Genomic DNA, 20,855 nt, shown 5'->3' on the forward strand with positions numbered 1-20,855 from the left:
GTGGACGGGCAAGCGTTGCCATGACAGCGCCGCGGGTGGGGATGCGGGAGGCTGAGCGCACCGGCCAGCTAGCCCCTTTGTGCGGCGGGGGCTGCGGAGTGCTCCCTCCAAGACCGGTTGCACCCCGCTTTCCTGGCCAGGACTCTGGGCGCGGGTAAGGAGGGGTTGGGTGTGAGGTTGTAGGGGCGCAAGGAGGCGGGAGGAGGGTGGAGGTGAGGGCCGGGGGTGGGGCGCCTCCGCCCGCCAGCCGCTCCCGCATTAAAATTTCATGGGCGCTGCAGCAGCTACAAAGACGACGCCGGCTGCGCTCGCGGGACCAGAGGGAGGGAGGCTGCGGACGAGTGCGGGGAGGAGTTTGAGATGGGAGGCGCTTGCAGGGGCTCCCCCAGTTCTGCGCTGTGAGCCGGGGCACAAAGAGCCCTCTGCACTAGCGCCGCAGGACCGCGGACCCGAGGTAAGACGTCGCCCCATCCTAGAAGCCTTCCTTCCCAAGTGTCCTTGTCCCCTAACGGGGAACAGCCTAATTCCCCAAGGCTGGGGTCGAGGGTAGGTCCCAGAGTCCCAGGGCTGGGTTCAGGGATGCAACGCCGCCTGAAGTGTCCCGCATTGGATGGATGAAGAGGCTTTACAGCCTGTAATTCTCAAACACAGCCAAGACTCTGGCTGGGATGGGGGGTGAGGTCAGGCAAGGGGAGGATGCTTTAGGAGTCCAGTGCGAATGGGGATCTTGCAATCATGATTATGAGGGGGAACAAAGACCCTTTCCTTCCGACGACACAAGACACAATTTGGGAGGTGGACCCGCGGACCTTCTCGGTCCACCAGGTTAGCAATTAACTGGCCAAGCCACGGGCAGAGCCAGAGGGTCTCGGAACTGGAGGTGGGGGTGGGGCGGTGGGGCAGGGTCCTTGAGCTCCCCTTCCCTCATACTCAGCCCGCCCCCGACCCAACCCCCCGAGCCTGCCATTCCTTCACTTCCCAGATGTCCGGCGTCAAATTTGGCTCCAAAAGGATGGAGAGGGCTGGTAGGTAACCCACCCTCGTTGAAAACAACAGTGACATCAGTTTATGGAGAGGTTACTCTACGCAGGGACGTGCTTGGTGCTTTGCAAGCGTTATCACAACAGTCCCACGAGGTGGTAAGAAACAACCCCATTTTAAAGATGAAGAAATGGAGATTCAGAGAGGGTTATCGACACCTCCAAGGTCACACAGCCAGTGATTGTGAATCCAGATATGTAGGACTCTAAAGCCCATGTTGCATCTCCTAAAGGGTCTGAGGAGATCCCGCAACCCACCAGCTCGATTCTCTCTACCTCTCCTCGGCTCCAGGACACTCCCTGGAGAGGCTGGGGATTTGGGAAGAAAGGGGCCAGACCTTTCCCCTCTTCCAGCGGAGGGCCCTGGGGTAGAGAAATTGTTTCTGGGATTGTGCAGGAGGAGGCCTGGGGGGCGCGCCCTGGATTCCCCACCCTCATCCCAGGCTCCGGATCCGAGGCTGCCCGGCGCCTGGGATTGTTGGCGCGCACACCCCACTGCAGTGCCGCCGCGGGGAAAACGCCCCCACCTGCTGCGGCGGGAGGGGAGGAAGTATGAGAGGGAGGACTGCGAGAGAACTTGAGGGAACGGCTTTGTTTTTTCTCGGGGCCAGGCTGGGACTGAGCACGACTCAAAGCAAAACACTTGCTCTGGACTCAGTGCTTTGCAAAGCGCATTCCCATTTGGGAGCATCTGGGAGCCCCGCGATGGCCCAGGGAGGGAGGCGGGGGTAGACGCAGGGCAGGGATGAGTAATTCCACTTGACAGACAGGGAAACCTGAGGACGGTGGTTCTCAGACTTTAGGGGCGTTGCTTCCAGTAAGCAGATGTCTGAGCCACGTGGCAAGGAGGATGAGTCAGCAGGTTTGGGGTGGGGCTGGGTATCTGATGTTTACTCAGACCTCCTCATCCTCATCCTGCAGGTGGGCAGATGCTTGGTTGAGGGAAGAGTGCCCCCACCTCGCCCCTCAACTTTCTAGGCAGAATCATCCAGCAGCCTGGGCAAACCATTTCCGGACACTTTGCCAGCTCCTAGCTTTGTGTGGCATTGAATTGATCCCACTCTAAGTTTGGTTAATTTCATGTTGAAAGCATTTTATGTAAACACCTTCCATGTCCCCCATGCCCGCCTATTTTACTATTTAGTGATCCTTGCCATTGAGAACTGTTCTGAAATCTACTCATTTTAAGCCTTAACCCTACTCCTTAACAGGGAAGAGTGGTGAAGTCTTCACAGTCCCCCAAAACAACCATAACCCCTTACCGCCAGCTTTAGGAGAATAATTCTCTATGCTTGCATTAAAAATGAGAATTTTGGGCTGGGCACGGTGGCTAACACCTGCAATTCCAGCACTTTGGGAGGCTGGGGCGGGAGGATGGCTTGAACCCAGGAGTTCAAGCCAAGCCTGGGCAACATGGTGAGACCCCTGTCTCTAAAATAAATAAGTAAAAATAAATGAGAATTTTTATAATTTTTTCCGATTTTAAAAGACAAATTCAATAAGTTTAATAAAATGCATGATAATTGTAAAGGATTTAGAAAAGACAAAAAAAAAAGAAAACTCCATTTTCTTTTTTTCTTTTTCTTTCTTTCTTTCTTTCTTTTTTTTTTTTTTGAAACAGAGCCTTACTTTTTGCTCAGGCTGGAGTGCAGTGGTGTGATCTTGGCTCACTGTAACCTCCACCTCCTGGGTTCAAGTGATCCTTGTGCCTCAGCCTCCCAAGTAGCTGGGACCACAGGCATGTGCCACCATGCCCAGCTAATTTTTGGATTTTTTGTAGAGCCGGGGTTTTGGCATGTTGGCCAGGCTGGTCTCGAACTCCTCACCTCAAGTGATCTGCCCGCCTCAGCCTCCCAAAATGCTGGGATTACAGGCGTGAGCCCCCACACCTGACCTGAAAACTTCATTTTCATGTATTTCTCTCTGGTATATTTTCTATTATTGAAATTGGCTGGGCATGGTGGCTCACGCCTGTAATCCTAGCACTTTGGGAAGCTGAGGTGGGTGGATCACCTGAGGTCAGGAGTTCGAGACCAGCCTGGTCAACATGGCGAAACCCTGTCTTACTAAAAATACAAAAATTAACTGCATGGTGGCATGTGCCTATAGCCCAGCTACTCTGGAGGCTGGGGCAGGAGGATCACTTGAACCCAGGAGGCGGAGGTTGCAATAAGCAGAGATTACACCACCGTACTCTAGCCTGGGTGACGGAGACTATCTCAAAAAAAAAAAAAAAAAAAAGAAGAAGAAGAAGAAAAGAAATTGCATTATATGTATAATGCTTTTGAAAAGTTACATCAGATGTGTTTCTCCATGTTATTACGACCTTTGCAGAAATCATTATGAGAGATTTCAGTGTTTCATGGAGGAGATAAGCATGGTCTACTTCGTCAGTTCCCTATTGTTGGTCCTGCTAGTTGTTTCCAATTTTTCTTTTCTTCTGCGTCTTCATTTTAAGGTCCTTTCTCTGGCTGTGATCCATGCTTCTTCCCAGGGCAGGATTACACTCTTTGAATTTACTTATTCATCAAGACAGTGCAGAGTGGTGGAAAGAGAAGCAGCTGAGAGTTACGCAGGTCCGTGTGCAAATCCTTCTCTCCATGTGTGTCCACTTCAGTCAGGGAGTAATCTCCCTTTTCTGAGCCTGTTTCCTCATCTATAAAGTGGCAATCACAATCCCGGTTTTAAAAAGCGGCCGTGAGGCTATGAACCAGTGCATGTTCGGTGCCCTGTAGGTGCTTACTAAAGCTAGTGAATGTTATCGTGCACCCACTGGGTGTCAGCTGAGTTCACTTATGTAGCCCCTGAGTCTTGTATGGATACTTAGTGATTTGCTTTTATTTCTGTTGAGGCTGCTGGTTTGTCTCCTGGGTGATTATTAGCCTGTTCGAGCAGCGTGTTTCTGGGGCATTGGGTCCATTGTGCAGATTCAATGGGCTGGTGAATAACTTGTAGGCCAGTCTTTGTTTCAAGAGGATCCCTTCCCTTGTCTCTGAGGCCTGACTCATCTGTCAGCTTGAGCTCCGAGGAACAATAGCCAGAGATTCTCAAGAGCAGAGGTGAAGTCTGGCTAAGAGTGACATCTGTCTCCCTATCCCATCCCACTCTGATCAGATCAGATGAGGCAGGTGTCCCCTTATCCCTTGTGGTGCCAGGTGGGCCCCTCTGGAAGCTACCAGATGAGTCATGGAAGGGAGGCGGGTGCTGAGCTATTGTATACTCAAAGGTGTGGAGTAGATGATGAGTAGTAACTAACCCTAACTACCACTTTGTTACCGTTTACCAAGGTTCTTGCTGAGTGCTGCATCATGGAGACTCCATGATAAGGCAGGGATTAGGCATTGCAGGTGGGAAACAGGCTCAGAGAGGTGAAGTGATGAGCCCAGGGCCACGCAGCGAATTAGCTGTGCAGTCAGGATGTCAACCCGTATCTTGTTTGACTCTGAAACATGTGTTTGTAACTACTACACTATGCCACTCTCCTAAAAGTGAACTCAATCATTTGCCTACAGACTGTGAAAGCAACCGGCATAAACTGAACAGAGATGATTTATCAATCATGGGCCAGTTTTCTCACAGTAATAGTAATGCAGATGGCCATCGAGTTTGCAGTTTACATATACCTTCCTTGGATCTTTTATCATTTAATCCATATATATATGGATCTATATAGATCCATATATATATATATATATATATATATATATATATATATATATATACACACACACACATATACATGGATCTGCTCTGTCACCCAGGCTGGAATGCAGTGGAGCAATCGCGGTTCACTGCAGCCTCTACCTCCTGGGTTAAAGCGGTCCTCCTGTTGAAGCCTCCCAAATAGCCACAGGCACAGGTACACATAACCACGCCCAGCTAATTTTTGAATTTTTTGTAGAGGCAGAGCCTTGATCTGTTACCCAGGCTGATCGTGAACTCCTGGCCTCAAGCAATTCTCCTGCCTCTGCTTCTCAAAGTGCTGGGATTATGGTGTGAGCCACTGCGCCCAGTCCCTGCCCCTATTTGAATACACCCTCTGCCCCTTTGGGGTCCAAGAGGCCTGTTTAGAATCCTGGTTGCCTTATTTTCTAACTGAACCTCAGTTTCCTCATCTGTAAAGTGGGGATAATAAAACCCAGCTTGTTTTGCCATGTAGATAAAGACACTCCCAATTAGCATCTGTTCTTAATAAGTGTTAGTTTAGCTTTCTTTTCCTTCTTCTTGGTTTTCTTTCCTCTCTCTCCACTGCAGGGGTTCCCATGTTTGAAGGAGATTTGAATTCTGAATCTCCTCTTTTGTGGACATTGTGTTTGAATTCGTAAAGAAACAGCGCTTTAATTCTCCTCTGCAGAAGCATCTGCTTCCCCCAGCATGTCTCCTGCGAGGCGCGTGGCACATTTTCATTATTCTCTGGAGCTTCCGTTATCTCTGGGTGCTGGCTCATCCAAGGCAATTTGGGCCAACATCTCTTGTACGTCTCAGATCTCCGAGTAGTCATTTTATTCCAGAGTCAGGGAAAAAGACCAAAAACCCAGAGGGATTCTAAAATGCAACAAATGTATGTTTTCCTGGCAGCTGCCCATCCATTACTAAGAACAGTACATGCTGTTTAGCGGGAAAAATGAATATCTCATGGGTAGTGTTAATGAACTGTGTGGTCAGTGATAATAATAATAATGATGTAAGAAAATGGTAGAATTCAAGCTAAGTCTCATTCATCTTCTCATTTGATCCTCATGACAACCCTGTGAGGTGGGCACTGTTATTATCCTTAGTTTGTGGATGAGAAGACTGAGGTTCACTGTGGTAAAGGACTTGGTCAAGGTCACACAGTTTGCCGGTGGCAGAGCAGCACAGGAATCCATGCCATAAAACCCATGTTAGGATGTATTGGTTGACACTGGCCTGATCAAAATACCTCCTTGTTTCCTGTTTTGCTTTTGATCTGCATCCAAGGAGATCAGTTTTGGGAAACGCTGTGATTTGAAACAGGACCTTAGCATCTATTCTCCACTGTACCCATGGGTATGTATTTATTCTCTCACTGCTGTCTCTTTTTCTCTTGATGACAGTTGGAGGCATCTGTCCACCCATGTGGTTCCAGACACGTTCATGTGGCCACCATGACCCCGTCGGCATCACAGGGGTAACCAAGGTGATCCTCCCTCTCTTCCTGTGTCCACTGGGGATGGTAGAGACCAGCTTAATGCTTTGAGATCAGATCCATCACGAAATCCGTATGTCCTGAGACCTCCTGAATCTTAAGGTGGGAGAGACTTCTGATGACCCTCTGGGTTCCAGTTCCCCAATCGTGGCTTTCCCGACTGACCTTGGCTTGAAGTGGGTGGTCTGTGTGGCCTAGTGAAAGCTGAGATGATGAGGCCCTGGTGCTCACAACTGGTTCTTTGTGCGGCCTTTGATCTGGCACTTTTTAGTTCCAGTCCTCTTTCATCACATACAAATGAGTTTTACAAAAATAACTTTATTGAGGTATAATTTACATACAAGGAAATGCACCCGTTTAAAGCACACATTTCAATGTGTTTTGACAAAGGTATACACCTGTGTAACCATTGCCACAATCAGGATGTAGAACATTTTCATCGTTCTAAAATGTTCCCCTGTATTCCCTCCCAGCCAATCCCCTCTCAGCCCCAGTCCCAGCCCCAGTCCCAGGAAACCACTGACCTGCTTTCTCAGAAGTAGATTGGATTCTTTTTTTTTTTTAATGTTCCATATATATGGAAGCTTCTGTGTTCAGCTTTTTTTTTTTTTTTTTTTTTTTTGAGACAAGATCTCGCTCTGCTGTTTGGGCTGCAGTGCAGTGGAGCCATCTCGGCTCACTGCAACCTCCGCCTGCTGGGTTCAAGTGATTCTCCTGCCTCAGTCTCCCGAGTAGCTGGGATTACAGGTGTGCACCACCACACCCGGCTGATTTTTATATTTTTAGTAGAGATGGGGCTTTGCCGTGTTGGCCAGGCTGGTCTCGAACTCCTGACCTCGAGTGGTCGCCTCGGCCTCCCAAAGTGCTGGGACTATAGGTGTGAGCCACTGCGCCCAGCTGAGGCTCATACTTCCTGTTGCATGTCTCAGTAGTTCAATTCCTGTTCTATCCAATTTTATTGAGGCATAGTTTAAAAGTCATATAACTCACCCATTCAATGATTTTTAATAAATGTACCAAGTTGTACAACCTTCACCATAAATCAGTTTTGGAACAGTTCGGTTACCCCAGTAAGATCTCTCATACCCATTTACTGTTCATCCACATCCCATCCATAACCCCAGGAACCACAAATCTATTTCTCATCTCGGTAGATTTTCCTTTTCTGGATATTTTGTATAAATGAGATCATACAATATGTGTTCTGTTGAGCCTAGCTTCTTTCCCTCAGCATGATGTTTGTAAGGTTCATCCATGTTGTAGTATGTACTAATAGTTTGTTCCTTTTTATTGATGAGTAGATTCCCTTATGTGGATAAGCCAGACTTTGCTTTTCCATTCATCAAGATAGGGGATTTTAATTTGATCAGTGCTGCCTAACTGTGGTATATACATATAATGCTACAGGATAAATATGGCTTATATTTCTGGAACATAAATATCACACACAGATTTACTTAAAGTTTAAATCATTGAGTGGTGAAAATAATTTTTGGAACATGTACTGTGTGCCAGGCACTGGCTAAGCTTTGAAAATCATTAACTTTGGACAGGTGTGGTGGCTCATGCCTGTAATCCCAGCACTTTGGAAGGCTGAGGCCAGCGGACTGCCTGAGGTTAGGAGTTCAAGACCAGTCTGGCCAACATGGTGAAACCCCGTCTCTACTACTAAAAAAAAAATAAGTTAGCCGGGCGTGGTGGCACACATCTGTAATCTCAGCTACTTAGGAGGCTTAGGCAGGGGAATCACTTGAACCCAGGAGGCAGAGGTTGCAGTGAGCCGAGATCATGCCACTGCACTCCAGCCTGGGTGACAGAGTGAGATCCTGTCTCCAGAAAAAAAGAAAGAAAGAAAGAAAGAAAGAAAGAAAGAAAGAAAGAAAAACAATTAACTTTGAGTCACACATTGAGTACGTAGGAGTGAGAGAGCCACAGTTTCCTCCAGGTTTCTCTAGCCCCAAAGCCCATACCTTCCTTTGTACCCTCTAAGACGGTGTCAGCTAAAGGTCCCTTGAAACCTCCATCACCTTATTAATATCATGACTCTAGGTCCACAGAACGAGGGGAAAGGGTCACTGTGGATCAAGCCAGGCTCCTCTGAGCAGTCCAGGGTCTATTTACAGAGAGCAGCAAGTTCCTGGGACAGAGGAGACAGAAGGGAATTTCCAGGTTCTTCAGGACGTTCACAACCACACTGAGAAGCATCTTTGCAGATAAGTATTTAAACTTACCAGCCCATAGCCTACCAGCCTGCCCTCTTCTGGTCTGTGCAGGAAAGTGTAGTATCCTAGAATGCCAAAGTGGGAGGGGAAATGGGTGATGTAGCTCATTCTCTTTTCTACCTCTATGGAAGAAAGAAAGAGCCTGTCCCCATTTTGTGGGGTCCCAGAAAGGGTGATTTTCACACTTCACATTTGGCGTTAGGGCTAGTATTTCACAAACATTACCGTCTGGAACTTTTGAAGGCTGAGTTAAATGACTTCATCTTGTGTACTTGTAGAACTGCTATTAGAAGGAGGCTGGGGACTCCCTGATGATGTGAACCAGCCCTTCTCTTCTCAGTTTCAGCACTTTGTGATCATATTTATAAACCTTGGACAGGGCTCCTTGGCCTTAGAGTTAAGTGAAGAGTTAACACTGTGACTTTAGATGCATTTTTCTCAGTGTAAGTGTCTGAGCTCATCTCCAGTTCTGGACTCGTGCCCCCACTCCCGGGTGCTGACAGCAAGCTCTGAAGATATGCTGAGAGAGCTCCCTGACTCTCCTGACTCAGGTCTGCCAGTTGATGAAGACAGCACAGTTGTTACCAAAAACAAAACCTGGCAGATGGTCCTAGGTCAGGATTAGTGGTCATTCTCTGGTCTTCTCCAGACTGGTGACACAGGGTGGTCTTAAAAGAGTCCTAGTCCAGCCTCTGGCTCCCCGAATTTCCTCTGGTGCATGGGGCATCAGGAAAGGGCAGGGGAGAAGGAGGGGGAGCAGAAAAATAACTGAGGCTGGGCAGAAGGGTCCCTTCCATTTCCCATCCATTGCTTCAAACAATGGGTGATTACCGTGCACCTTGAGTGAATGTCAAGGCAGGAAGGGTTCCAGGGCCACCCAGTGTGGCAGGAGCAGAGCTGGGATCAGAATTCTGGATTCCTGACTCTCCGTTCAGCTGCTATTCAGCTATCACCAAGCTGCTGAGTTTGTCCTACTTTCTCCTGGGTCACATTCTGCTGTTGTTGGGAAACAGGGAGTGAGTGAAGGGAACCTGGGAACCCTTCTCCCCTCACCTTTTAAGGATGTTCTGGGGTGGAATAAAGAGAGGTGGAGGGTGGGGTGCCTGGGCCCAGCCTCCCTGGCTCCTGGTCCTTCTTTCTTCAGCAGGGAGTTCTGGCAAGGCCTGGGCCTGGGGAGGGGGCCTGGGTGCAGTTTTCTCCTGCGGTGTGGTTGGCTCTTTTGTCTTCCAGGATGGGCCTGTGGGGTCTGTGTGGGGAAGGAAGGAGCTGGGAGCCTGGGCTGCCTGTGTGTCGGCTGGATGCTGCCAGGTAAGCCTGAGAGGGATGTGGGGAGGGAGGGAGGGAGGTCACATGGAGCTTGGTTTCATGGGGGTAGGTTGTCCTCCCACCTGTGCCCCCTCCTCAGGCCCAGAACGCTCCTGCTCATGAGAAGATGGCCAGGGAGCCAGGTGGCTGGAATGCTTGCTCTGTGTGGTCTTGGTGGGGGTGGGTGGGATGGAATCAAGACCATTGTGGGTGAGCTCGAGCAGAGAATTTAGCAAGTCCCTTCATTCAGCACCGGCATGGACCAAGCAACTTCTCTGAGCCAGATGCTGGGGACGCAGAGGTGAACCCAGAGACATGATCCCATCTGCTCAGATCTTCATGTCAGAACACGCTTTATTACAGTCTCGGCAAGGGGGTGAGCTCCTCGTCCTGGGAGCAGTGTGTGTGTGTGTGTGTGTGCGTGTGCACATGTGTGTGCATGCCTGTGTGTGTGTGCATGCGTGCATGTGTGTGCGCGTGTATGTGTGTGTATGCGCGCGTGTGTGTGTATGTTGGGGGTGGTGGTGTGCAGAGATCCTCCCAGTGGGAATGTTGTAAAATGAATTGAAGCCATCAAAGGCCTCTGAAAGTCCTTCCCATCCCCTCAAACCCTTGCCCTGTCTCTGCCCATGATGCTCCTGGAGCTTGCTATGGGCTCCCTTTACTGCTTTTCCTCTGGTCCCCTGAGCTAACCCTGCCTGGTGGGTATTCTCAGCTTTCATTGCTTCCTCTTTTTAGACAACTTTTTTTTCCTTTTTCTCAGAGACAGGGTCTCACTCTGTTGCCCAGGCTAGAGTACAGTGTTATGATCACGGCTCACTGCAGCCTTGAACTCCAGGGCTCAATACATCCTCCCACCTCAGCCTCCTGGGTAGCTGGGACTACAGGTGCATGCTACCATGCCTGGCTTATTTTTTGTAGAGACAGAGTCTCATTATGTTGCCCAGGCTGGTCTCGAACTCCTGGGCTCAAGTGATCCTCCTTCCTCAGCCTCCCAAAGTGCTGGGATTACAGGTGGGAGTCACTGTGCCTGGCCTAAGTTTCTTCTAAAAATGTTTCATGTCCAAAACCCTCACTTCCACCCTGTGTGTGTGCTGGGGGCATGAGAGACTGGGGGGATCTCTGAACATGAGTCCCCTCAGATGCAGAATTAGGCTGGGGGGATGTGGGAAGTTGGGGATGGAGGCTGTGGCCTCATCCTCACTCGCTGTCTTCTCCCCCAGGTGGCTCCATCTGGGCCGCATCTCCAGGACTCCTGGCCTGGACTTCTCTTTGGACCTCGGGTGACCTTGGATTCTGGCCACAGTGACTTAGCGGTCAGACTCCGGTGGTTTTCTAGCCCGCTGGGTGACTCCCTGAAGATCTCATCCTCTTCACACCTGTTGGGATGGAGCCTCCCATGGATAGGAACTCTTCCTGGTTGATGCTCAGCAGATGACTGATCTGGCTCTGGAGGACAGCTCCAGGGGTATGAGGGAGGCCTGGCAGCCCACTACTCCCTCCTCACCTGCTCGGGCCCTGCCTGCTGGGCCCTATTGTCTGGGTCTGGGGGCCCTTTCCTGCCCCATGTGAACTTGATTCCTCCTCGCGTTTCTGCCGGTGACCAGACAGAGCCTGGCCTGGGCCAAGTCCCCACTGACCACACTTTCCCCAAGGCTGGGTCTCAAAGGACCCTACAGGATGGGGACAGGAACAAGGATGGGAGTCGGGGAGGGGCTGTCAGGCAGAGGGCAGATGCAGCTCCTCGGGTGCCGCTGGCTGGAGTCCTTTGTCTCCATTTGCTCAGTGCGTAATTGTCATTTTGTGGGGGACTTCCTTGGTGGGGCTTTTCCATGCTTTTCCTCTCCCTGATGGTTACAAAGAGGAGACAGTCAGGATCTGGGAGGAGCTGGAGCCTTCCCCCTGTGCTGTTGAACTCTGGGAGGGGCAGCCAGAGGGGCTGAGAGTGCACCATCCTGAAAAGAGAGGGTCTTTAAGAGATAAGATTTAGGCTAGGGAAATTCACTAGAAAGAGACAGGTGGCCCTGGGTTTTTTTTCCTGCCATCCAAAGGGAACCAGTCTTACCCAAAGGCTTAAGGGGTCACCTTAGCCCAGTCTCAGGACACTCTTCTCCAATCAGATCGCTGCTTCTAGTTGCACTGCTCCTGGATTCTGTTCTTGGGGAACAGAAGGTGGCAGGACAGGCCCCACAATCTGCAATTCCAGCTCCCTCCAGAGGAGACAGTCCCAGCGTTTGCAAGAGAGCAGCTTGTGGCCTCCCTTAGGCAAGTTTAAAAGCCAGATGTCCTTTTTCCCAGAATGCGGAGTGGTGTGTACTATTCATCAGCTTGGGCTGCCACAGCACCATGCCAGACTGGATGGCTTAAACATCAGGAATTTATTTTCTGCCAGTTCTGGAGGCTGGAAAGTCCAGATCAAGGTGTTAAGACTTGGTTTCTGGTGAGGCCTCTCTCCTTGGCTTGCAGGTGGCACCTTCTCACTATGTCCTCACATGGCCTTTTCTCTGTGGAGAGGGACAGAGAGCATGAGCAGGCTCTGGTGTCTCCTCCTCTTCTTATAAAGACACTAATATCACCATATTAGGGCTTAAACCTATGACCTCATTTAACCTTAACCCCTTAAAGGTCCCATCTCCAAAAACAGTCACATAGCAGGCTACTGCTTCAACATATGCATTTGGGGGAGGGGACACCATTCAGTTCTTAACAGGGTGGTCACCGCAAACATGGAAAGTCAGAGCCTTCTCCCCTTCAGAATTCCCGCCCCCACCCAGGGATGGGGAGGAGGAGCAGAGAGGTATGGGAAGCAGACACGGAGAGTGGCAGGTACCATGCTGGGGTGGCTCAGGAGTGCTTCGGAGGACATATGGAACTGGCAGGGCTCAGTGCAGGGAGGCGGAGGCCCTGGGAGAGCCGTGTCCTGAGAAGGGCCTGGGCTACAACCCTGGGCAAGTTACTTCACCTCTGAGCCTCCGATGCTCTGTGAAATGGAAGGAATGTGCTTGCCTGTCAGGTGCAGGGAGAATTCAGTGAGATTGTGTGCCTAGCACAGTGCCTGACTCCCAGTAGGTGCTCAGCAAATGCTCCCATCCATCTGGGAGTATAGACTTAGGGTTTATCTATTTTTTTTTTTTTTTGGCTCTCTGGACTTTAAAACTCAGCATCTTCTGAACCAGAGGCATTTCTGATTAGCCCTTCCCTACCTATTTTCCTAGTATCACTCTTTAATCAGCTTGGGGAGGTGGCAGCATTTCATGGCCTCCGTAGTAACTCACAATGCTTCCTGGGGTATTTAAATTCTACTCTCTCATCAGCACTGAGCACCTACTTTGGGCCCTTTCCCGTGCTAGCCATTTGGGGGAAATATAGGTGAAGAGTGGCTGGGGTTTGAACCTTTAGGATTTCACAGCCATGCTGGATGGGATAAAACCAGCTCACATGGAGAATCAGAGAATGGGACAGTGCCACAAAACAGTCTACTGAGGCACAAGTTCTGAGTGCCTGGGAAGTGGTAGAGAGACCCCAGAGAGGGCTGCTGCAGTCTGGAACAGCTTCCTAGCAAGCTGTACCAAACAGGGCCTTGAAGGATGAGAAAGATCTGGCTGAGATGATACCCGACCCTCTAGGGAAATTCTTAAAGTAACTTCTAGGAAATGTCATTGCTCCTTAAAAAAAAAAAAAAAAAAAAAAAAGCAGGTTCTAATTCAAATTCCGCTGCACTACTGAAGTAGTGCAGGACTTATCAGAACCTTTAAAATGCTAATGGCAATTTCAAATACTCAGGGACAGGGCATAGGATGAAGTGTTCCTTGACTTTTATGGCCGTAGAATCTTTTTCTCATGGAACATCGTTTAGAACTGTGGGAGATGCTAGGCTGGGGTTTCTATGGGAAAAGTACAGCAGTGATAGAAGATGGCATAATTAGGGTACACTTAGGTGCTTTGTAGCATTGGCTGAAAAGGAAGCAGACCGGGTGGGCGTGGGGGAGTCTCAACTTGGTTCCAGGAGCCAGGCCAGCTTGATGCGTTTTTTTTTTTTCTAATGGTGGGAGGGCAGGCCAATAGTTGGAGAAACTAGAGGCCTGACAGTCGGTGATGGAAGAGATGTCTACTAAGCACGGTTGTCAGATCTTTTGCGGAGAGATGCGGGTGTGCGTGTGTCTGTCAGAGTGTAACAGGATCCAGCCCTCTGGGAAGGGGCTGACCAGAACCAGGCAGGGGGTTTCTGTCTAGGACAAGTAGGGTCCATTTTCAGGGGAGCTGAAATATTTGCAGGGGGTGCTCTGAGACCCACAGCCAATAAATAGGGAAGCAACATGCTTTTGGGCAGGGTCCATGTGGTTAGGGTTGATTTTGATGGGGCTGGGGGGCTTAGAGTTAGACCCCCTGCCCTGGTCAGGCCCCACTCCCTGGCTGGTGGGGGCGGGAGGCCTCTGAAGCTGCAGCTGGAGGGGCCGGGGCAGTGTTGCATGGTGTGATTAACCTACTAACCCAGGGCTCAGCCGGGACGCTGTGGCGTGTGACGAGGTGCCTGGCCTTCTGCCAACCAACTAACCCACTAACCAGGCCCGAGCATGCCCTACTAACCACCCCCCCGCAGCCAGATCCTACTAACTGTGCAGCTCATGGGCCTTTCAAGGGGCTGGGATATGGGGGCAGCCAAGGCTCCAGAAGGCTCTGCCTATGGGCTGGGATCTTTGTGCAGACCCACGTTCCAGGACAGAGAATGCAAATAAGACTCACCAACTCTGCCACTTCCTGTTGAGTGAGTTTGAGTAAGTCACCTCACTTCTCTCAACCTCAGTTTCCTCAGTGGTAGAATGCGAGTTCTGATACCTTACAGGTTGCAGTGAGGATTCCCGTCAATATAAGGGTCTCAGCACATGGCAGACACCTAAAAAAAAAAAAAGTATGAGGATGGAGGAAGGCCCCTCAAACCTGGTTGAACACGTCTGCTGCCTAGGCCCTGGCCTCTCTGGGTGTTCTGCACACAGATCCTTCTGCCTGGGGCAAGACACTTGGCTTTGAATCCATGTCACTTCCCCACATTCTTCCTCCGTCTCAGCTTTCTTTTCTGTAGGCAGCTCTTTTGTTCGATTACTAACCCGTCTAACCCCTGGGGTGCCTCAACTGCACCCCGATCATCCCTTAACAAACTAACGGACCTGCGTGCGTTCTTCCTTTTCTCTTAGCGACTCCTGTGTGTGTCTGCTGAGGTGCCCTGTCCGCTGGTGCTGTGCTCTGACTTACTAACCCAGCCCCTACTAACCCTGTTTTCTCTTCTTACTAACCCCAGCCCTGCCGAGCTCTGGGCTCCCCCCGGGGGCTGGTCCCCCTCCTTTTGGCAAGCAGATGACCTGGGGCTACTGGCCCTGTAGACAGATGTCCCACTTTGCTGCCCCATATTGGCTGTAAGATCAGAGTCCACTGGGCCAGGTCTAAGGCAGGGGATGGCCCTATTAACAAGACTCAGAGGAGGAAGAGGTGGTCCTGTGGATGTGGGAGGCTGGACTCTGAGTATGACATCTCTCCTATGTGCAGAAGTCTGGTTGCCACTGGGAGTAGGTGGGACCAGGGAAATCTCTGGGACGTGAGTGTGGAGGCCTGTTGGTCTAGACTCTAGACTGTGGAGCTCTGAGCTTTTGTGTCCTCTGGAAGGAAGCTGGGGAAGAATCCTCTCCATTGTTAAGTGACGGGGATAGAAGCTGTCCTGCACAGGAAGTCACGAGGGGGGCGTATCCCACGAGGAAGGCAGGAGGGGGCGTGCCCCTCACCGGAAATTAGCAGAGGGGCGTGTCCCACACCGGAAGTCAGAAAGCGGAGCCTTTCTTACACCGGAAGTCAATGAAGCGGGTCTTTCCTACGCTAAAAACCACTGAGTGGAGTATTTAGTACACAGGAAGTCGGCCAGAGAAACATTTCTCATATTTGAAGGCCGGAAAGAGGGACATTTCTGACACCGGAAGTCAGTGAGAGGACTCTTTCCCACACAGGAAGTCAGCTAGAGAGCCGTCTCCCCTCTCTGGAGCCGAGAGAGGCCGGTTTCCCCCACCGTAAGTAGACGTGGGGCCGTGACCGGAAGTCCTTGGGAAAGATCCGTCCCATTCCCGGAAGCTAGAGGGCGTTAGTTGTCGGGTTGAAAAGGGGTGTGGGGAGGGGAAGCAGCTTTACCCCGGGCTCGGAGTTTGCAGGAGAGAGAAGTGGGGAGCAAGAAGTGAACCTCAGGGGCTCACAGGGTTCCCGCAGATGCTCAGGCCGGCCAGGAATGCATCTCTGGCTCTCTGTTCCCACGGACGTCACTGCCTCAGCCAGCCTCCCCCAGAGCCCGCCAGCCGCTAAGCCGGGGCCACACCTGGGGGTGATTTCATGCCTCACCTCCAGTAGGCACCTTGGTTTCTTTGGGCTAATCTCTGGCTCCCTTGCGCTAACTCTTGCTCTCACCCAGCTAATCCCTGCCTCACCCTGACTGCCCCAGGGGCTGACCACTAACAACCAACCTGGCCCTGTCTGGGGGTTCCAGGCTCCTGGCCTGGCCCTGACCGGTTCTTAATTAACCTTTCCTTCACCTTGACTAACTCCTGCCTTCCTGGTCTGTTCCTTTCAGCAGAAACTAATGGTTTGTGGATTTTTTTCTGACTAACAACAGGTCTAACATTCCTCGTTACTGTTAACAGCTTGGATGTCGGCATGGCTGGGAAGGGGCTAACACAGCTTTGAACTTGGCTAACACAGGTTTGAACTTGGCTAACACAGGTTTGAACTTGACTAACACAGGGAAAAGCATAGCTAACAATTTTGGGCGTGGTGGCTGCTCTGAGTCAGAACAATCAGAAGTCGGTAAAGATGGTAGTTTTCTAAAGGAGGTGCCAGGGCTCTGGTGTGGACCAGGCCTGATGGAGCAGTGGTACCCACCAAGGTGGGGTCAGAAGTATAGCCAGTCTTGCAAGGTTTTGGCCATTGGGCATATCTTCACTCCTCATAGTCTGCATTTGGTTTCAGTTCTTAAAAAAATATAGCCTTATAGCTACAGTAGTTTGCACAAGTAGATGCAGCTCTTATAAACCTTAAAATACCTGTCTGGTGTCTACAGAGCATATGCCATTTTGTATAGAGTCACCCTTCCCCAGGCCAGGGCCTAGAGTCTTCATTTTGGGGACTTTGTGTTTTGGAAGTTCTAGGACATAAAGCTTTAGATCAGAGTATTCAGAAGGGTTATAACTCCGTCAGTCATTTACATGTTAGTAGTATAAATTATCTGAGCTTCCTGTTCTAACTTTTAGCTCTTCTAGCATAAACTCTTCTGTGCAATTTAGCTGCACCGAGGAAACGGGAGTTTTTCTGGAAGGGACTTTTGATCTCTTTAGACTGAGGGAACGTCCTTTGGGAGTAGAGGGGCAGGGAGCATACGCAAGGGATTCCAGGTGCAGGTAAAAGGTGGCACTAGTTCAAGGTTTTGCTGACTCAGTCTGGTAGTCAGAGTCTGCAGGAGAAGACAGTTCAAGGCAGGGCCTGGAGGATTGGATCAGTTTAGGGACAGGTCAAAGGCTGGCTTACAGACCTTAGAGGCAGGTTGCTTGGGTCGTTGAATGCTAGTCTGGTGCTGAGAGCCCTTTTCTCTGGCAACTGTGGACTCAGAGCTAACCAATTGTAGTTGGCAGTGGGGGTGAAGGGTGATCCAGAGGCCTGAGCTGCAGAGGGCACAAGAGAGAAAAGATGTCTTAGAAAGAGCTTTGAGAACATGCCTTGGCTGCTGGCAGGGACCTTGGATGGGGTAGTCTACACCCGGAAGTGCCTGCCTGCCATCCTCTAGTGGCTGCCTTGCTCCATTTCACTCAAAGCAGGAAGCTCACACCTCCTATTCCTGAAACTCCTCTTTGTTTAACTGCAAAGACTTGATGCTGCTAAGGATCTACTATGTGCCAGGCACTGCTCTGGGCGCTGGGACCTGCACCTGGGCTTTTTCGTCATGGTGCTTTTATAGCCTAGTGGGAGAGTTGGTGAAGTAGATAGTGATTCAGTGAGATGGGTGTTATGATTGGTCAGGGGTCTGTGGGAGCACCAAGGAGACAGACAAGATTGATGTGCACCTACTCTGTGCCAGGCGTGTGCCAGGCATTGGGGATGTAGTGGTAGTTAAACACCATTTGGTCTTCAGGAGCTTTAATTCTAGTGTGTTGGGTGCAGGGGGGTGGAATGGGGACAGAGAGACACCTAATCCACCCTGTGGTGGCTTTCTGGAGAGGGAGGCATCTAAGCTGAGCTGTGGCTGGGTGGAGTGTGGGTGGGGATGAGTTCCGGGCAGCGAGAGTGGTGGACACCAGTTTCTGGGGATCAGAGAGGATCCAAAGAGGTTCTGGAAGGTTCATGTGGAATGTAGCAAGAGATAGGAGACATGGACATGGTGCCGGGTCTGGTTGCCAAGAAGTTTAGATTTTATCCTTAGGCCTTGGGGAGCGACGGATATGATCTGAGAAAGGGAGTTAGTGGATTTGAGTTTTAGGCTGGCCATTTGGCTTTTCCAGCCCAGGTGGAACTCAGAGGAGTTTGCAATGGCCTCTGGCCACATTTTAGACAACTGAGCAGAACTTTTTGAAACTAGGAAGACCCTTTGGTCCATCTTTTGATAAACAGAATCCATACATGTCTACCCCAGTTGGAAGTATCTCTGCAATGACTGGAAAGTAAAGAGGACCAAGGTGAAAATAAAGGCTCGGAAGGGGAGCAATCTTGAAAACATGTCATCCCATGGTGGTGGGAAGTCCCTGGAGAAGATCAGGGGAAACACAGTCATAGGCTGCAAGTCTATAAGATAATTCCATTGGGGAGGGAGCCCATTTGTCATGCATGGCTGCAAGGGGCAGATACAAGTGTGGAGTAAGCTTGCAAGAGCTGATCCTGGTCCCAGAGAGGGAAAAATATGCCTTGGTGGGTAATGAACCTTTTGTTCCCAGAGGCAGAAGGATTGGGACTAGGCCAACATAGAGATTGGCGATGGTTGTGAGATTCTAAGAGTGTGTGTGCATCTTGACAATATTAGAGGAGGCTGAGCCCAAGCAGGCACATTCTCTTCGACCCCTCCCTCATTCAGTCTGCTTTGGAGTCTACTGAACATCAAGCTTGCTATGAGCAGGATCTTAGAGCTGAGGAATTGGCCTCCCAATCCGAACAGGTGTTATAATCCTTTCTTAATAGGTTGTGCTGTGGACCCAATGTGAGGGCTGTGCTGGTGTAAATGGTGACATGTTGAGCTGGGGGGATGCTTTCGGGGTGGGGGGACTGGTTCCATTCCATCAAAGGCCCTCTTGAGAGTCTATCCAGGGACCCATTGTTTTACTTTAACAGACCAGAAAAGATGTTTGTTTTCCATGTCATTACCCCCAGGGGATACCGAATGTGTGGGTAGAAATTTCTCTGTAGATTAAAAATCAGATTTTTACATGGATTCAACAAAGGAGCGTCACTTGGATTTTTGTTTTCATCCATGAATGTAGCTGCTTCTGTGTAAAATGCCATTTTGCTATTAAAAATCAATTCACGCTGGAAACATGACTGTGGCCTATGAAGCAGAAGGGACGTGCTGTTTAGGGGAGAGGGGGCAGCCAGTGGCATTCTCAAGGAGCAGGGGTGGGCTCTCTCGGTGAGTCAGCCTTTCCTCAAGAGTGACCCTAGAAGTCAATATAATAGGGTATTTTATTTTTTAATTTTGGTAAAATAATCATAACATAAAACTTCACCACCATAATAATTTCTAAGTGAACATCTTGGTGGTATCATTCACATTGTTGTGCAACCATTATCACCATTGGTATTTATTTTTCTTTTCTTTTTTTTAGAGATGAGGTCTTGCTATGTTGCCCAGGCTGGCTTTGATCTCCTGGTCTCAAGCGATCCTCTTGCTTCAGCCTCTTGAGTAGCTGGGACTGCAGGCGTGCACCACTGTGCCTGGTGGTATTTTTAAAAAATAACACTTCTTTATGCCTAGGGCAGTGCTTCCAGAAATCCAGGTTCTTATTGCCAGGGAATTTGTTTATTTTATTATTATTTTTTTTTTGAGATGGAGTCTTGCTCTGTTGCCCAGACTGGGGTGCAGTGGCGCGGTCTCGGCTCACTGTAAGCTCTGCCTCCTGGGTTCACGCCATTCTCCTGCCTCAGCCTCCTGAGTAGCTGGGACTACAGGCACCCACCACCACGCCCGGCTAATTTTTTGTATTTTTAGTAGAGACGGGGTTTCACCGTGTTAGCCAGGATGGTCTCGATCTCCTGACCTCGTGATCTGCCCGCCTCGGCCTCCCAAAGTGCTGGGTTTACAGGCTTGAGCCACCGCGCATGGCCTGCCAGGGATCTTATACTTCACTGGGGAGTCAAAGAGTTCCTTGGTGACAGAGAAAAAGATAGAGTTTAGTGTGTGATCGTGAAGGACTGGCAAATATAAGCCACACACATCGCCACTCTTCCCTTCAGCATCCTTGACAGACATTGCAAGTTGATTGCCTATCTCTCTTTGGGAACTTGGGTGCATTTTCAGGCTCTTTCTCAGAACAGTGTTCTGGGTAGCCAAGTTTTAAAAGAACTTTGGAGTCAGTCTTAGGATTGAGACTACTGATAATCCTCAGTTTGAATCCCAGCTTTGCCACACACCTGCTGTTAGATCTTGGGGATGATTGCCCTTCCCTGAGCCTCCATCGGCTCTGTAGAATGGGGAGACCACTCCCACCTCATAGGGCCATTGTGAAGGTTCCCAAGCGTTCTTGCAGAGCTAAGACAGCGCTTGATGCCCTGCAAGTGTTCCCTGAAACCTCATTCTGTGTTAGCACCAGATGATGAGATTGGGGGCCAGAGGTGCTCTGTTGGAAAGAAGGTCAGGAGGAGGTGGGGTGAGGGTGGGGGCAGTAAGGGATGGCTTTCTGGGAGAATCAAAACTTGAGGGGAACCTTGAAGGATGGGGAATAGTCAATAAATCAGGAGAAAATAGTGATGGTGCAGGGCATTTCAGGATGGCTTCTCCAAGATTCATTGGACTGGTTCGGTAGGAGATGAGGATATTGATAGGATATTGGGGTGGGGGCAGGGTGGACACTTCAGAGGAGGTTACAGATTGAGCTAAGAAGTGGAGGCTGGTCT

General features: G+C 50.1%; 2 long non-coding RNA genes across 21 annotated transcripts in view, besides 6 other annotated features; both read left to right on the top strand.

Annotated features, from left to right (window-relative positions):
• MIAT (myocardial infarction associated transcript) overlaps positions 1-19,278 on the top strand; it is a 30,050-nt gene extending 10,772 nt beyond the window's left edge. For 2 of the 20 annotated variants that reach the window (NR_185985.1, NR_185983.1), the window contains 4 exons: positions 6,116-6,198; positions 8,331-9,737; positions 9,985-10,110; positions 10,958-19,278. This is a non-coding gene — a long non-coding RNA (myocardial infarction associated transcript). Of the gene's footprint in view, positions 1-57; positions 155-281; positions 455-982; positions 1,140-3,498; positions 3,617-6,115; positions 6,310-8,256; positions 9,738-9,984; positions 10,111-10,957 lie in introns of those variants that run through there. The other 18 variants (NR_185987.1, NR_185982.1, NR_185990.1 and 15 more) reach the window with 17 other exon arrangements.
• Positions 162-211: a silencer, noted in NCBI's record as "silent region_13576". NCBI's record gives its function as "represses an Ori minimal core promoter by ATAC-STARR-seq in GM12878 lymphoblastoid cells {active_cell/tissue: GM12878}" and the evidence as "EXISTENCE:reporter gene assay evidence [ECO:0000049][PMID:35858748]".
• Positions 402-451: an enhancer, noted in NCBI's record as "active region_18797". NCBI's record gives its function as "activates an Ori minimal core promoter by ATAC-STARR-seq in GM12878 lymphoblastoid cells {active_cell/tissue: GM12878}" and the evidence as "EXISTENCE:reporter gene assay evidence [ECO:0000049][PMID:35858748]".
• Positions 3,885-4,864: an enhancer, noted in NCBI's record as "NANOG-H3K27ac hESC enhancer chr22:27057049-27058028 (GRCh37/hg19 assembly coordinates)". NCBI's record gives its function as "activates a minimal SCP1, AML or CMV promoter by ChIP-STARR-seq in naive H9 embryonic stem cells {active_cell/tissue: H9 hESC(naive)}" and the evidence as "EXISTENCE:reporter gene assay evidence [ECO:0000049][PMID:30033119]".
• Positions 7,933-8,433: an enhancer, noted in NCBI's record as "H3K27ac hESC enhancer chr22:27061097-27061597 (GRCh37/hg19 assembly coordinates)". NCBI's record gives its function as "activates a minimal SCP1, AML or CMV promoter by ChIP-STARR-seq in naive H9 embryonic stem cells {active_cell/tissue: H9 hESC(naive)}" and the evidence as "EXISTENCE:reporter gene assay evidence [ECO:0000049][PMID:30033119]".
• Positions 10,793-11,376: an enhancer, noted in NCBI's record as "H3K27ac-H3K4me1 hESC enhancer chr22:27063956-27064539 (GRCh37/hg19 assembly coordinates)". NCBI's record gives its function as "activates a minimal SCP1, AML or CMV promoter by ChIP-STARR-seq in primed H9 embryonic stem cells {active_cell/tissue: H9 hESC(primed)}" and the evidence as "EXISTENCE:reporter gene assay evidence [ECO:0000049][PMID:30033119]".
• Positions 11,377-11,959: an enhancer, noted in NCBI's record as "H3K27ac-H3K4me1 hESC enhancer chr22:27064540-27065122 (GRCh37/hg19 assembly coordinates)". NCBI's record gives its function as "activates a minimal SCP1, AML or CMV promoter by ChIP-STARR-seq in primed H9 embryonic stem cells {active_cell/tissue: H9 hESC(primed)}" and the evidence as "EXISTENCE:reporter gene assay evidence [ECO:0000049][PMID:30033119]".
• MIATNB (MIAT neighbor) overlaps positions 15,643-20,855 on the top strand; it is a 108,051-nt gene continuing 102,838 nt past the window's right edge. The window contains exon 1 of the long non-coding RNA NR_110543.1: positions 15,643-15,787. This is a non-coding gene — a long non-coding RNA (MIAT neighbor). The remainder of the gene's footprint in view (positions 15,788-20,855) is intronic.

The sequence above is a fragment of the Homo sapiens genome, chromosome 22, assembly GCF_000001405.40.
Source record: "Homo sapiens chromosome 22, GRCh38.p14 Primary Assembly".
NCBI lineage: Eukaryota > Metazoa > Chordata > Mammalia > Primates > Hominidae > Homo > Homo sapiens.